A 12,553-nucleotide genomic window follows, 5' to 3' on the forward strand; every position below is an offset into this window, starting at 1 on the left:
GCCACCCAGCCCCGCGACCAACTAGCGCCGCCTCTCGCCGCCCATCCCGGGGCACCGGCGGTGGGCGGGGCCAGCAGCGCAAACTGCCTGCAGCGGGGACCGGACCTGCACAGGCCGCCTATGGCGGGCGGCGGGTGGGACCGCGAGTTACAGCCGGCCAACTGGGGCCAGCCAGGAGCCTGAGGGTCGGAAGCCCCCAACACAAGATGCTGAGCTCCTTCCTGAGCCCCCAGAATGGCACCTGGGCAGACACCTTCTCTCTGCTCTTGGCTCTTGCCGTTGCCCTCTACTTGGGCTACTACTGGGCATGTGTGCTTCAGGTGGGTGCGGGTCCACCGCTCTGGCCAGCGGGTTTGGGTGTAGGGGGCAGCTTCCAGACACGGGCTTGGGCCCTTGGTGGGAACTGGGATGGTTGGGCTTCCCCACAGGTGAAATTTGCTACCACCGAATGGAGAGTCGGCTCTGCCTCTCTAGTGCCTCTGCATCCCATGTGATCCCCATGCCAGCTGGGCCTTTTGGGTACCGGAGGGTGCTGCTCCCTATAATGTGGACAAGCATTTGGGGAAAGGTGGGGTGGAAGGCATCCTGAGGTATCAGAGATGTGCACACTTTGCGTTCCTTTTTAGGTGGTTTAGCTGAGTCTTTCAGCTGCACTGAAGGAAGGAACCAGAGGTCTGTGGGTCATGGCTAACTCCCAATACCACCCACCCCCCAAATAGCTTAGTAGGACCTCCCTTCCCTTAAGGGCTGGCTGAGGTCAGAACTGGCCTAGCTCAGAACTGATGGATGACCCCAACTGTCCTTGCTCATTCAGCCGTTTTATGTTCCAGGCTCTCCATATAGTGAGTGTGATGAGAAAGTTTGAAGAGGTTGATTTTGATGAATTTGGAGACTTTTCTCACTGAAATTTAGATATATACATAATTTACATATCCAGGAAAAGCCAAATCTCTTCATCTTCATTAAACTCTGTTCTAGGTAGCTGAGTCTAACAAGACACCTACTGGTTCGAGTCCTTTAAAAAGGTCTATAGGAGACTTTAGTGTTACCTAGACTTTTCCATATTTTCAGAGCTTTCTACATTAGCATATATTGTTTACTAAATGTCTTCCTTAGGGCCGGGTGTGGTGGCTCACGCCTGTAATCCCAACACTTTGGGAGGCAGAGGCGGGAGGATCGCCTGAGGTCGGGAGTTCGAGAGCAGCCTGACCAACATGAAGAAACCCCATCTCTACTAAAAATACAAAAATTAGCCAGGCATGGTGGCACATGCCTATAATCCCAGCTACTCGGGAGCCTGAGGCAGGAGAATCACTTGAACCTGGGAGGCGGAGGTTGCAATGAGCCTCGTGCCATTGCACTCCAGCCTGAGCAACAAGAGTGAAACTCCGTCTCAAAAAAAAAAAAAAAAGTCTTCCTTAATAAAACAGTTAAAAACTCCAAGCCTCACAATACTCTGTAGGCCTCACTTTATACATCAGATTTGGAAGGTCACTTCAGAACAAAACTGCCCCTAAGGAAACACTTTCCTTTACTTGCAACTAGCTGCACAGAAATCTGGGCCCCTGCTGCTTTATAGACTAAACCCTTTATAAGCTAACGAATACTGGTTAAAATGCAGGAAAAGTGCCATTCTGGAGGCCCTCTAGATACGGTGTTTGGATTGGCCAGCACTGTAATGGATCTATACTGATTTAAGCATAGCAACCAGTGCCATATTGTAATACTAATTCATTCTCAGGAGGGAGTCAAGAAACATTTTCTTGAGTTAAAATCAAATTAACCCACATAAATCAAACCTGTGAACAAATTTATAAGTCTTGTTCCACACTACTGGGCCGTTTGACCAAGGAATTAATAAACTGATAGTAACTCAGCCGAGCACAGTGGCTCATGCCTGTAATCCCAGCATTTTGGGAGGCTGAGGCGGGCGAATCACTTGATGTCAGGAGTTCGAGACCCGCCTGGCCAACATGGTGAAACCCCTATCTCTACTAAAAATACAAAAATTAGTTGGGTGTGGTGACGCAAGCCTGTCATCCCAGCCACTCAGGAGGCTGAGGCAGGAGAATCGCTTGAACCCAGGAGGCGGAGGTTGCGGTGAGCTGAGATGGCACCACTGCACTCCAGCCTGGGTGTCAGAGCAAAACTCCGTCTCAAAAAAAAAAAAAAAAAAAGGATAGCAACTCAAAATCTTGGCAATTAGGAGGCAATACCCGACAGTGACTAGACAGCGCAGGCTCTAGAGTCAGACAGACCTGGGTTTGAATCTCCTGCTCTGCCACTAACTAGCTCTGGCAAGCTTCTGGCCCTTGACAAGTTATTCAGCATTCAAATCCGTTCACATAGGGGGATCACAGAACCTATTTCATGGAACTGTTATGAAAATCACAAGACAAAATTTGTGTGAAGTGCTTAGCAGAATGCCTGGAGCTTAATGAGAACTCAACAAATCTTACCTACAAGTACTGGTGGTAATGTCATAGTTAATAATTTTGTTTTGCCTCTTGCTTGCTGTGTAACTGGACAAACCACTTAATCTCTGTCAGTCATAACTTCTTCACTTATAAAATATCTCATAAGTTTGGGCTTAGCCCAGTGCCTTCACACGACTGACAGCTGTCGTAATTCCAGGGCTTAAGGACTAGGGTCCAAAGTCACATCTCCCAACAGTTGCACTATCGACTTGGCATCTCTACCATTTGCCCCTGTAGACTATAGGAACTGTACTGGAGATAGAAATCTGGTCCTCATGTTCCTTAGGGCCCACTGCGGATATGCAGTTTCTATTCTTGAACCTATGGCATACTCCTCCTTCACATGCCTTCCACGTGGCTAGGCTCTCTCATTCACTTGATGTCTGTCCAGAACACAGCAGAGAAGCTGAAAGTCAGGGCTTAGTGCCCACTGACCTCATCTGTCCCTGTTATTTCATCCTTGTCACCTTCCCCCTAGCTGGCATGAAGGAAGAAAAAAATCGATTCACATTAGGGCTGTTCTTCCTTTAGAGCACAATCTAACAGCAGGGGCCCCACAAGTAAGAGAAGATAAGGTCCCCGGTAGAAAGAAGCCCCTTAGGCCAGACGCAGTGGCTTACACCTGTAATCCCAGCACTTTGGGAGGCCGAGGTGGGCGGATCACGAGGTCAGGAGATCGAGACCATCCTGGCTAACACAGTGAAACCCCATCTTTACTAAAAATACAAAAAAAAAAAAAAAAATTAGCCAGGTGTGGTGGCGGGCACATGTAGTCCCAGCTACTCGGGAGGCTGAGGCAGGAGAATCGTGTGAACCCGGGAGGCAGAGATCTTGCAGTGAGCCGAGATCACGCCACTGCACTCTAGCCTGGGCGACAGAGTGAAACTGTGTCTCAAAAAAACCCCTTGGCAGTGAGCAAGAACATTAGAGAATAGGAATATACAGATGAAGTGGTGCTAAAATCAGGAGCCAGAGTGGCCAGAGTCAGTCTTAGGAAGAAGACAGTGTAGCTTCATCTTTTTTTTTTTTTTTTTTTTTTTTTTAAGACGGTGTTGCTGGGCACAGTGGCTCACGCCTGTAATCCCAGCACTTTGGGAGGCCGAGGCGGGCGGATCATGAGGTCAGGAGATCGAGACCATCCTGGCTAACACAGTGAAACCCCGTCTCTACTGAAAGTACAAAAAATTAGCCAGGCGTGGTGGCGGGCGCCTGTAGTCCCAGCTACTTGGGAGGCTGAGGCAGGAGAATGGCGTGAACCCGGGAGGTGGAGCTTGCAGTGAGCCGAGATTGCGCCACTGCACTCCAGCCTGGGCAACAGAGCGAGACTCTGTCTCAAAAAAAAAAAAAAAAAAGAAAAAAAAAAGATGGTGTCTCGCTCTATCACCAGGCTGGAGTGCAGTGGCACAACCTCGGCTCACTGCAACCTCTGCCTCCCGGGTTCAAGTGATTCTCCTGCCTCAGCCTCCCGAGTAACTGAGACTACAGGTGCTCACCACCATGCCTGGCTAATTTTTGTACTTTTAGTAGAATCGGGGTTTCACCATGTTGGCCAGGATGGTCTCCATCTCTTGACCTTGTGATCCACCCACCTCGGCCTCCCAAAGTGCTGGGATTACAGGCATGAGCGACTGCGCCCGGCCGGCTTCATTTTCAACTGCAAAGTAAAGGCTGAAGATTGAATGGTGCTGCATTTCTTCAGCCCCTGCCCAGAACCCCGACTTTTTCTGCAGGGGATCAGCTGGGCACTTATTGACAGGGTCTCACTGTCGCCCAGGCTAGAGTACAGTGGTGCTATCATAGCTCACTGCAGCCTTGAACTCCTGGGCTCAAGTGATCCTCCCACCTCAGCCTCCCAAGTGGCTGGGACCACAGGCGCACACCACTGAGCGTGGCTGTTTACATCACCTGCTCTCTCCAAAATGGGTTTGGGGCATGGATAGGCTGAGCAGGAAAGTCAGCACTCAGTCAACTCAGCAGCTCCCAGTTCAGGGTCAATTCTGGGCAGTGACACTCCAGGACTGGGTTTTTTAGGGGCTCTAGCTGGAGTGTATTATCAGACTTGGCCATTCAACTGAGCTGTGCTGAGTATCTCACATGCAGACAAAGCAGGGTCCTCCAGGCTGGGCTCTGGAGAGGGGGCCCCCTCACCCTCTGGTGTTGGGTGCCTCACTAGCTTGGTGCAAAAGTCAGGGAAGTGGGGCAGACTGCTGTGTGATTACAGAGGCCTCGGCTGGTGGCTGGGCCGCAGTTTCTGGCCTTCCTGGAGCCACACTGTTCCATCACCACCGAGACTTTCTACCCAACGCTGTGGTGTTTTGAGGGGCGACTACAAAGCATCTTCCAAGTCCTCCTGCAGTCTCAGCCCCTAGTCCTTTATCAGAGGTAAGAAGGGACAGAACAGGGTGAACATGAAACCCCAGGTATCTAGGGAAAAACCTATCTACCACTTTTAAAATGTAGGTAATCTGCCTCATCTACATCCCTGTGTTGAGGGTTCAATGACAATGGATGTTATATGGAAGGGCTATATAATTGCACGGCCACCAGGTCATCTTTTATGTCCCCATCACACATTGTCAAGCCTTACTGTTTTACATGAAGAACACCCTCAGATGATGCTGACGGGAAGTGATAAGACTTGTTTGTGGGTGGGGCAGGGGGCAAAGCTTTTGAATTACATTAAGTTCTTAATAGTATCTTTGTGTGCCTCTTCCTCCAAAACCAGTGACATCCTCCAAACACCAGATGGAGGCCAGCTCCTGCTAGACTGGGCCAAGCAGCCTGACAGCAGCCAAGACCCTGATCCTACTACCCAGCCCATTGTGCTGCTGCTTCCTGGCATCACTGGCAGTAGCCAGGAGACATACGTCTTGCACCTAGTTAACCAAGCTCTGAGGGATGGCTACCAGTAAGGATGGGTGCAGCCCCAGAGTGGGGTGGCATCTGAGAACGTGTATTAGGGAGAAGTCAATCCGGACACTGATAGATAAGAAGAATGCTACACAAAGGGAGTCTTTGGACAGGGGTCTTTCTGAATACTGAAAGGGGAGAGGGGCTAAGAAGGGTCTGGCTAAGATGTACCTGTGTGTGCCACAGGGCTGTCGTGTTTAACAACCGGGGCTGCCGTGGGGAGGAACTGCGGGTGAGTAGCTGCCTTCCTCATAGCAGCCCTTCACCCACTCCCTTTAGAGATCCTTGGCCCTGGGGCTCACCTCCTACCTATCCTTCCTCAGTTTCCCCTCCACCTTCTGGCCACGGTCTCCCTCCCTACCCAATGATCTGGTTTGCCCTCAGACCCACAGGGCTTTTTGTGCCAGCAATACTGAAGATCTAGAGACAGTCGTGAACCACATAAAGCATCGTTATCCCCAAGCTCCACTGCTGGCCGTGGGCATCTCTTTTGGAGGGTAAAGATTGCCTGGGCTTAGCCCAGAGGCCCAGTCTTCCTTTTTTTCCTCCTCCATGTCCCCTTCCTCTGTCCCAACCCACATTAATGCAAACCCTTCTTTCATGGTCCCTTGTCCAATTCCACAGGATACTGGTGCTGAATCACCTGGCACAGGCCAGGCAGGCTGCAGGGCTGGTGGCAGCACTGACTCTGTCTGCATGCTGGGATTCCTTTGAGACCACTCGCTCCCTGGAAACCCCACTCAACTCACTGCTCTTCAATCAGCCCCTCACTGCTGGGCTCTGCCAACTTGTGGAACGGTAGGGTCGTGGCAAGTGGGAGGAGGCAGTAGACAGAGTAGGATGGCAGACACTCCAGGCTCTCCTAGTGCTTGGTCAGTTCTCTCTGGGCTTCCTCACACATGAGATAGTAAGACAGGGCCTGGGGGTGGGGGATCAGATCCAGGTGTCAAGCCAAACTCTTATGTACTTTTGCAGAAACAGAAAGGTGATTGAAAAGGTGGTGGACATAGACTTTGTACTACAGGTATAATATTCAGCCATGCCCCTGGTTCCCCCAAATGAGTCTTCCACTATCTTCCTATTCTTTATCATCTTAGCCTATCCTATGGTAAGACCTGCAGGCCCGTACAATCCGCCAGTTTGATGAGCGCTACACATCTGTGGCCTTTGGATATCAAGACTGTGTTACCTACTACAAAGCAGCAAGCCCTAGAACCAAGATAGATGCCATCCGGATCCCTGTGCTCTATCTCAGTGCAGCAGATGACCCCTTCTCCCCCGTCTGTGGTGAGTACTCTGATTCAGGACACTTTGGCCCCAAGGAAAATGGGCCATGAGGGACGCAACAGACAGCCTGGGCTCCCAGTGAAGGCCAGTGTTTCTAACCTCTGACCCTCTCCTAGCCCTTCCCATACAGGCCGCCCAACACTCCCCCTACGTTGCGCTGCTCATCACAGCCCGGGGTGGCCACATCGGCTTCCTGGAAGGGCTGCTCCCGTGGCAGCACTGGTACATGAGCCGCCTCTTGCATCAGTACGCCAAAGCCATCTTCCAGGACCCAGAGGGGCTGCCTGACCTCAGGGCTCTCTTACCTTCTGAGGACAGAAACAGCTGACAAGAGTACCATTTGGGGTCTCAGTTCACTCTTTCCTTGTTTATTAAATATCAACTTTTCCTGCCTAATGGGCTGAGGTTCATTTTCCCATTCCTCAAGGTAAGGGTAGACTACCTAGGAACTTATTGCATCTTTAGGCCAGCTGGCTTAGTGCTACCCATCTGAACCCCCAGATTACTACCCAAGTCTTCCTTTTGCCCCTTCCTGCCCTAACAGCAAGTACCAGGCCAGTCCCTTCCCCAGCAAATGCCAGGGGCTTCATGTGAAGAGGAACTGGCCACAAGGCTGAGGGGAGGAGGAGAAACTGTTTCTGCAGGAAGGACAGCAGTGCCTCCAGGCTCTTGGGCATCTTCACATGTTTCTAGATAAGGACAAGCTCAACTCTGGAGCCTCTGGTAGGCAGAAGAAAGGAGGCAGGGAGTATGGCCTGGGCTTCAGATACCGCTGTTCTGGATGGATCCACAGATGACGAAGGCAAGGTTCCTGGGACCTGGAGTCACACAGGGCCATAGCCAAGCCTTTTCACTAGAAGGGCAGGCAGTGCCCATTCATCTTGTCAGCGGCAACCTCAGCTGTGGACCCGAATGGAGTGAGCAAAGGGAGTCCAGGCCTCCACTCTGCTCTAGAGATGGCAGTGTCCAGGCTCCTGATTCCCAGGAAGCAGGGAAGCTAAAGGAAACCTGGAAAGGCACTCTGGAGCAGCAGGATGGTCACAATAATAAGCCCGACACACAGCAGGAGCAGGAGCCACACAGGAACACTCCCTGCAGGAGGGAAAGGGAGGAGGTCAGCGGGCAAAAGGGCTTCCCAGCCTGAAAACCAGAACCCTTCAAAGGAGGAGTGGCACAAAGAGCCCAGCCTCCGGGGGGCACGTTTCTGGTCATTAAACGTGGGGTGGTGCCTGCCTGCCCTGCCCCAATGACTCACGCCGTGAGGGCAACAGATGCAGCTGGCAACGACTGTCCACAGCCACAGAGAACAGGGCAGTTTCATGGGACCCAAGGAGCTCTGGACCACGACCCTTCTCAGGTAGAAAGGCCACATCCGTCACCACAATGCCATGGGCCTCCCTCACGTAGTAGAGGCACTGTGGGCAGAAGGAATACCAGTGAGGAAAGGCCTAGCTGGGAACTCTCTTTCTGGAAAGCATGTTCCCCACCCCCAGGATTTCCCTCGATAGGATGGGCCAGACTCCTTCCTGCAAACTCAGGGTAGAGACAGGCCTACAGTCCACCCACAGGGCCATGCCAACCTCCACCCATTACCTGGAGAGAGAAAGCTATGTAGATGGCAACAGAGCCAGTGACTGTGCCCAGGCCTAGGAAGGTGCCGGATTCACTGCAACAAACAATAAAGAGCTCATTGTCCTGGAGGCTTGTGCAGCAACCCTCATACCCCAATACCGGTCCGTAGGGACCCAGGCAGGACTCCTTTCCAAGCTCCCTCAGGGACCCCCTACCTAGCCAAGGCAGCAATGTCTCACACCTGACATCGAGGCAGGAGACGACTTCATGGCCACAGGACTTGGTCCGAAGGGGCAAGAAGTTGGAGCCATCCCAGGCTGTGAGGTAGCAGGGAGGGGGCTGGCGCAGGCGCTTGTGGGGAATTTGCACTGTGAAGAGTCGCAGGCCAGCAGGCTGGTCTGGAACCTGCCCAAACCTGGGGGCCGGATGAGGGGCTATTCAGCTCCTAGGGCCTGCCCAACCCTCCTCAGAGGTTTGTGCACCACCTGCACCCTGGTCAGACCTGGGGTAACACTCAACAAGTTCCTCCCCAGCTCTCCCATCCCCAGTCTTTTCCCTCTCCCCCACCACAGCTGGGCTATGCCTCTTTCAGCCACCACCCAAAGTCTTCACACCTGCAGGCCTGGTAGCGGTAAGGTGTGCTGGAAAAGGTGGGTCCATTTTCTTGCCAGTGCAGCTGTGTCACCAGCTGATCCTTCTGCCACACAGAGGCCTTAAGGTCCCGGCCCACGGTTACCAACTAGTTAGGAATAAAGATTCCAAGGATGGACAGTTAGGGGATCCACTTACTGGGCAAGCAGCATAAGCACCTCCTCTCTCCTTTCTCCATCCTCCTCCCACCCCCAGCCCCTCACCTTGCCATCAGGCCCTAAAGCCAGGTCTTCAATCTCCCCTTCGTGGGCTTTGAACTCCAGAACCTTCTCCAGGCTGGGCACCTGTAGCCAAACAACCACCATGGTTAACTCAGGTGTCCAGCAAGTACACTGTGACTGATGCCCACGCCACCCCTTCTAATGGCCCCTCAATGCAAGCTTCATTCACAAGTTTCCCAGATGCCACGTTCAACTTCTCACAATTTTGATCCTGTTGCTACTGACATTCACCCTCCCTAACCCTGCAAACCCACACCTTCCAGACACGGACGTAGCCATCTGTTCCTCCAGTGGCAAGCAGGGTATTATCGTGGTTGAAGCACACAACTTTCTGCAGTGGATCGGAGCTAAAGTCTGTCTGCACCGCCTGCAAATTCTCTACCCTGAGTTCTAGCCCCTCGTGCTGGGTTTCCGCTCCACATTTCTTCTCTGCTGGGGCTGCTCCCTTCCTTTGTCGAGGCCCCTGCTCCTTGGAACCTGTAACACAAACACTTGGCCAGGTTCCAGGCTTCTACAGTAAGGAGTACTGGCCCCTCTCTCCATGGCAGGTGCCCATACAACTTCTAGCTTGCTACCAAAACCCTACTTCCAGACCCACTTCTTTAGAGACACCAAGAGTGACCTTACTCGTTCAACCCTTTCCCCAAGGGGGTAGAGAGGGAGCTCCTCACCGGCCTTCTCTGCCTTGTTGCCCTGCTGTTGATGTGCCTGGAAGCGCAGGAGCTGACAGTGGGCATCCTGCCCTGCAGCAAGGATGTCACCAGCCAGTGCCAAGTTCATGGTGGCCCGTGTCTCTGTGTCATGGGAGTGCAGCAAGGAGGCACTCAAGCGCCCATTAATCAGCTCTAGCTGCAGAAAGTGCTGTGGGAGGGGGAACCCGGATGAGCAAGTTCAGGGGTGCCCAGAGAGCACGTTTAGGGAAGAGTCTGATGTCTTACCCCTTTGCTTTCTGCACGTTCTAGTTCACAAGGGTTTCTCGAGTCTTTTTTCTCTCATTTGGGCCTCACAAATCTACACAGTGAGCAGGACTGGGATTATTACCTCTATTTTACAGAACAGGGTGAAGCTCAGGAGAGGGAAGGAACTTAGCCTAAACCCAAATGCACCACTCTCGCCGCTGCTAGAGGGCAGGCAAGACCTCCCGGAAAAGGCCAGTATAAGACCCCTGGAGCTGCTCTGAGGCGGAGCTGAAGCGTTCCTGGCGACTCTGCAGCTGTGTGCAGTTTTCACTTTACCTTAAAAGCCTCTCCTCCGCCCGCTGAGTTCTCGACTGAAATTCGCCCCTGGGCGTCAGGCAAGCGGGTCTTCCCAACAGAAGTGGGCAGGGCCCGAAGCTGGAGTGTGGCCCGCCCCGCGACCCCCCGGCCACCCTGGAATCGCCGCCAGCCCGCAGCAAGACCCAGCCCCAGTGGCCCTGCGCTCTCACCACGCCATTCTTTATGCCTGTCTTGGCGGCGCCTCCTCCGCCCGCAGCGATGAGCAGCCCAGTGCTGGGGTCGACCTGAAGCGCGTACAACGGGAACGGAGCCCGGTACAGCTCTGGCGCCCGGCGCCGGCCCATCCCGCCCGGCGCGCGTTCACTGCCCGCACCGCGGCACCCAGGACATGCCGCGCCGGGCCTTCGACTACTGCCCCGGCGGCTGGTGAACTCGGCCCCGTCGCCGCCGGGAGCACTCCCTACCCCTCTCACACCGGGGAGTTGCCAAAACCCTGACCATCAGCAGGAAGCCGAGCCTCAGCTCGGCTCCGTCCAAGTCGGTCTCGCAGACGCGCACTGCGCATGCGCACCTGTCTCGCGGCTCCCTCCGCGCAGGCGCAGGAGCGCCGACACGCGTCAGCACTAGCCGGCCGCGGGGCCGCGTTTCCCGGGGCGGGGCTTCGGTTCTCCACCCCTGGCGCGGAGGCAGAGTCGCCCAGCACCGACTTCGCCATTTTTGTGCGGGGCGCGGGGCGCGGGCGGAGGAGGTGGAGCCAATGGAGGTTGATGAAGGTCAACCTTTAATAAAGAAATCCGACTCGCGCCTGTAATCCCAGCACTTTGTGAGTCCTAGGCGGGCGGATCAGGAGTTCGAGACCAGCCTGACCAACATGGAGAAACCCCGTCTCTACCAAAAATACAAAGGGCGTGGTGGCGTGCGCCTGTAATCCCAGCTACTCGGGAGCCTGAGGCAGGAGAATCACTTGAACCTGGGAAGTAGAGGTTGCAGTGAGCCGAGATCGCGCCATTGCCATTGCTCTTCAGCCTGGGCAACAAGCAACAAGAGTGAAACTCCGTCTCAAAAAAAAAAAAATCCTCTGCCAGGCACGGTGGTTCATGCCTGTAATCCTCCTGTAATCCCAACACTTTCGGAAAGTCCGAGAGAGGAGGATGGCTTGAGCCCAGGCTTTCGAGACAGCCTGGGCAACATGGGGATCCGTCCCTACGAAATATTTAAAAATTAGCCAAACATCGTGGCACCTGTGGGCCCAGGTGCCCAGGAGGCTCAGGCGGGAGGATCACTTGAGACTGGGAGGTCGAGGCTGCGCTGGACCACCAGTGATGTCACCACTGCACTCCAGCCCCTGGGCAACAGAGCTAGACCCTGTCTCTCACACACATAAAATCCTCAAATAAGGACTGTTCCCATCTGAGGAGTGATATGCCAACTCCTAGGAGCACAGGCCTTTGCATCTTACCTCAGAGAGGAAGTGATTTGCCCGAGGGCACACACCAGAAACCACCGGAGTCTCTTGCTTCTTAACGGAGGCAGCATGAACTTAAAAATAAACCTGACTTCAAATGCTGAATCCATTGCTTCCTCGTATGAGGACACGTCTGTCATCCTTAACGCCTATCGCCCACTTTTGGCAGGGGTGGTGTCTGCCATTCCCTTTCTCAAGGCTTCACACTCCTGGGCTGGTGGCTTGGTGGGTGGCCAGCTGCTTTGCTGGCCTCAGAGGGGGCAGTTTGGCTCCCGGGCAGGTATCTTCTGCGCCTGACACTCCATTCTCCCTCGGGTTTCTGATCTGATGAGGACCTTTGTGCACTCCTGAGAGCGAGCACAAGGGATGTCCTTCCCTGCAAAGAGACGCCCTCTCCTGCATTCTCATTAACCTAAGGTGCACCCAGAGGAATAGCGCAGTGGCTTCATCTTTGGGGATGCCAATATCTGTCCCACAGAGTTGAATTAGATGTGTGAAGGGCCTGGCCAAGCTCTCTGCATATCTCAAGTCCCCAGGCCTTGTGGGTCCCTTGTCCTCCTTGGATACATGGCACCTGCTCTTTCTGGCCTCTCCGTTTCCTTTGACACCACCCTCCAGGGTCTTTTTTATTTTTTGAGACGGAGTCTCGCTCTGTTGCCCAGTCTGGAGTGCAGTGGCCTGATCTCAGCTCACTGCACCCTCCACCTCCCAGGTTGAAGTGATTCTCCTGCCTCAGCCTCCTGAGTAGCTGGA

The 12,553-nt window shown here is 53.7% G+C and overlaps 2 protein-coding genes across 12 annotated transcripts, besides 5 other annotated features; one reads left to right on the forward strand and one right to left on the reverse strand.

The window, feature by feature from the left end:
• Positions 18-157: a silencer, noted in NCBI's record as "silent region_11286". NCBI's record gives its function as "represses an Ori minimal core promoter by ATAC-STARR-seq in GM12878 lymphoblastoid cells {active_cell/tissue: GM12878}" and the evidence as "EXISTENCE:reporter gene assay evidence [ECO:0000049][PMID:35858748]".
• On the forward strand, positions 73-7,070 carry ABHD1 (abhydrolase domain containing 1). 5 transcript variants are annotated; one of them, NM_032604.4, is made up of 9 exons: positions 73-320; positions 4,699-4,859; positions 5,203-5,385; positions 5,574-5,619; positions 5,772-5,884; positions 6,012-6,185; positions 6,363-6,411; positions 6,509-6,674; positions 6,791-7,070. In NM_032604.4, exons 1-9 carry the CDS (start codon positions 207-209, stop codon positions 7,000-7,002), a joined length of 1,218 nt encoding a protein of 405 aa, NP_115993.3. In that variant the 5' UTR covers positions 73-206; the 3' UTR covers positions 7,003-7,070. The 5 variants fall into 5 exon arrangements, with proteins under 5 accessions (NP_115993.3, XP_011531437.1, XP_011531439.1 ...); XM_011533135.4 differs by lacking the exon at positions 6,791-7,070 and having other exon boundaries at positions 6,501-6,668; XM_011533137.4 differs by lacking the exon at positions 6,791-7,070 and having other exon boundaries at positions 6,485-6,601.
• PREB (prolactin regulatory element binding) lies at positions 7,014-10,894 on the reverse strand. Of its 7 annotated transcripts, none has more exons than NR_138479.2 (9): positions 10,545-10,894; positions 9,790-9,979; positions 9,375-9,595; positions 9,101-9,181; positions 8,861-8,985; positions 8,462-8,661; positions 8,268-8,340; positions 7,930-8,089; positions 7,014-7,766 (listed from the first exon to the last, which is right to left on the reverse strand). NR_138479.2 is itself a non-coding variant. In NM_001330484.2 (9 exons), the coding sequence occupies exons 2-9, from the start codon at positions 9,896-9,898 to the stop codon at positions 7,672-7,674; spliced, it is 1,038 nt and encodes a 345-aa protein (NP_001317413.1). In that variant the 5' UTR covers positions 9,899-9,912; positions 10,545-10,894; the 3' UTR covers positions 7,014-7,671. The 7 variants fall into 7 exon arrangements, 5 of the variants coding, with proteins under 5 accessions (NP_001317413.1, NP_037520.1, NP_001317414.1 ...); NM_001330484.2 differs by having other exon boundaries at positions 8,488-8,661; positions 9,790-9,912; NM_013388.6 differs by having other exon boundaries at positions 8,488-8,661.
• Positions 10,613-10,712: a silencer, noted in NCBI's record as "silent region_11287". NCBI's record gives its function as "represses an Ori minimal core promoter by ATAC-STARR-seq in GM12878 lymphoblastoid cells {active_cell/tissue: GM12878}" and the evidence as "EXISTENCE:reporter gene assay evidence [ECO:0000049][PMID:35858748]".
• Positions 10,613-11,307: a biological region, named in NCBI's record as "H3K27ac hESC enhancer GRCh37_chr2:27357261-27357917".
• Positions 10,651-11,307: an enhancer, noted in NCBI's record as "H3K27ac hESC enhancer chr2:27357261-27357917 (GRCh37/hg19 assembly coordinates)". NCBI's record gives its function as "activates a minimal SCP1, AML or CMV promoter by ChIP-STARR-seq in naive H9 embryonic stem cells {active_cell/tissue: H9 hESC(naive)}" and the evidence as "EXISTENCE:reporter gene assay evidence [ECO:0000049][PMID:30033119]".
• Positions 10,783-10,832: an enhancer, noted in NCBI's record as "active region_15491". NCBI's record gives its function as "activates an Ori minimal core promoter by ATAC-STARR-seq in GM12878 lymphoblastoid cells {active_cell/tissue: GM12878}" and the evidence as "EXISTENCE:reporter gene assay evidence [ECO:0000049][PMID:35858748]".

Source organism: Homo sapiens, chromosome 2 (assembly GCF_000001405.40).
Source record: "Homo sapiens chromosome 2, GRCh38.p14 Primary Assembly".
NCBI classification, from domain to species: Eukaryota; Metazoa; Chordata; class Mammalia; order Primates; family Hominidae; genus Homo; species Homo sapiens.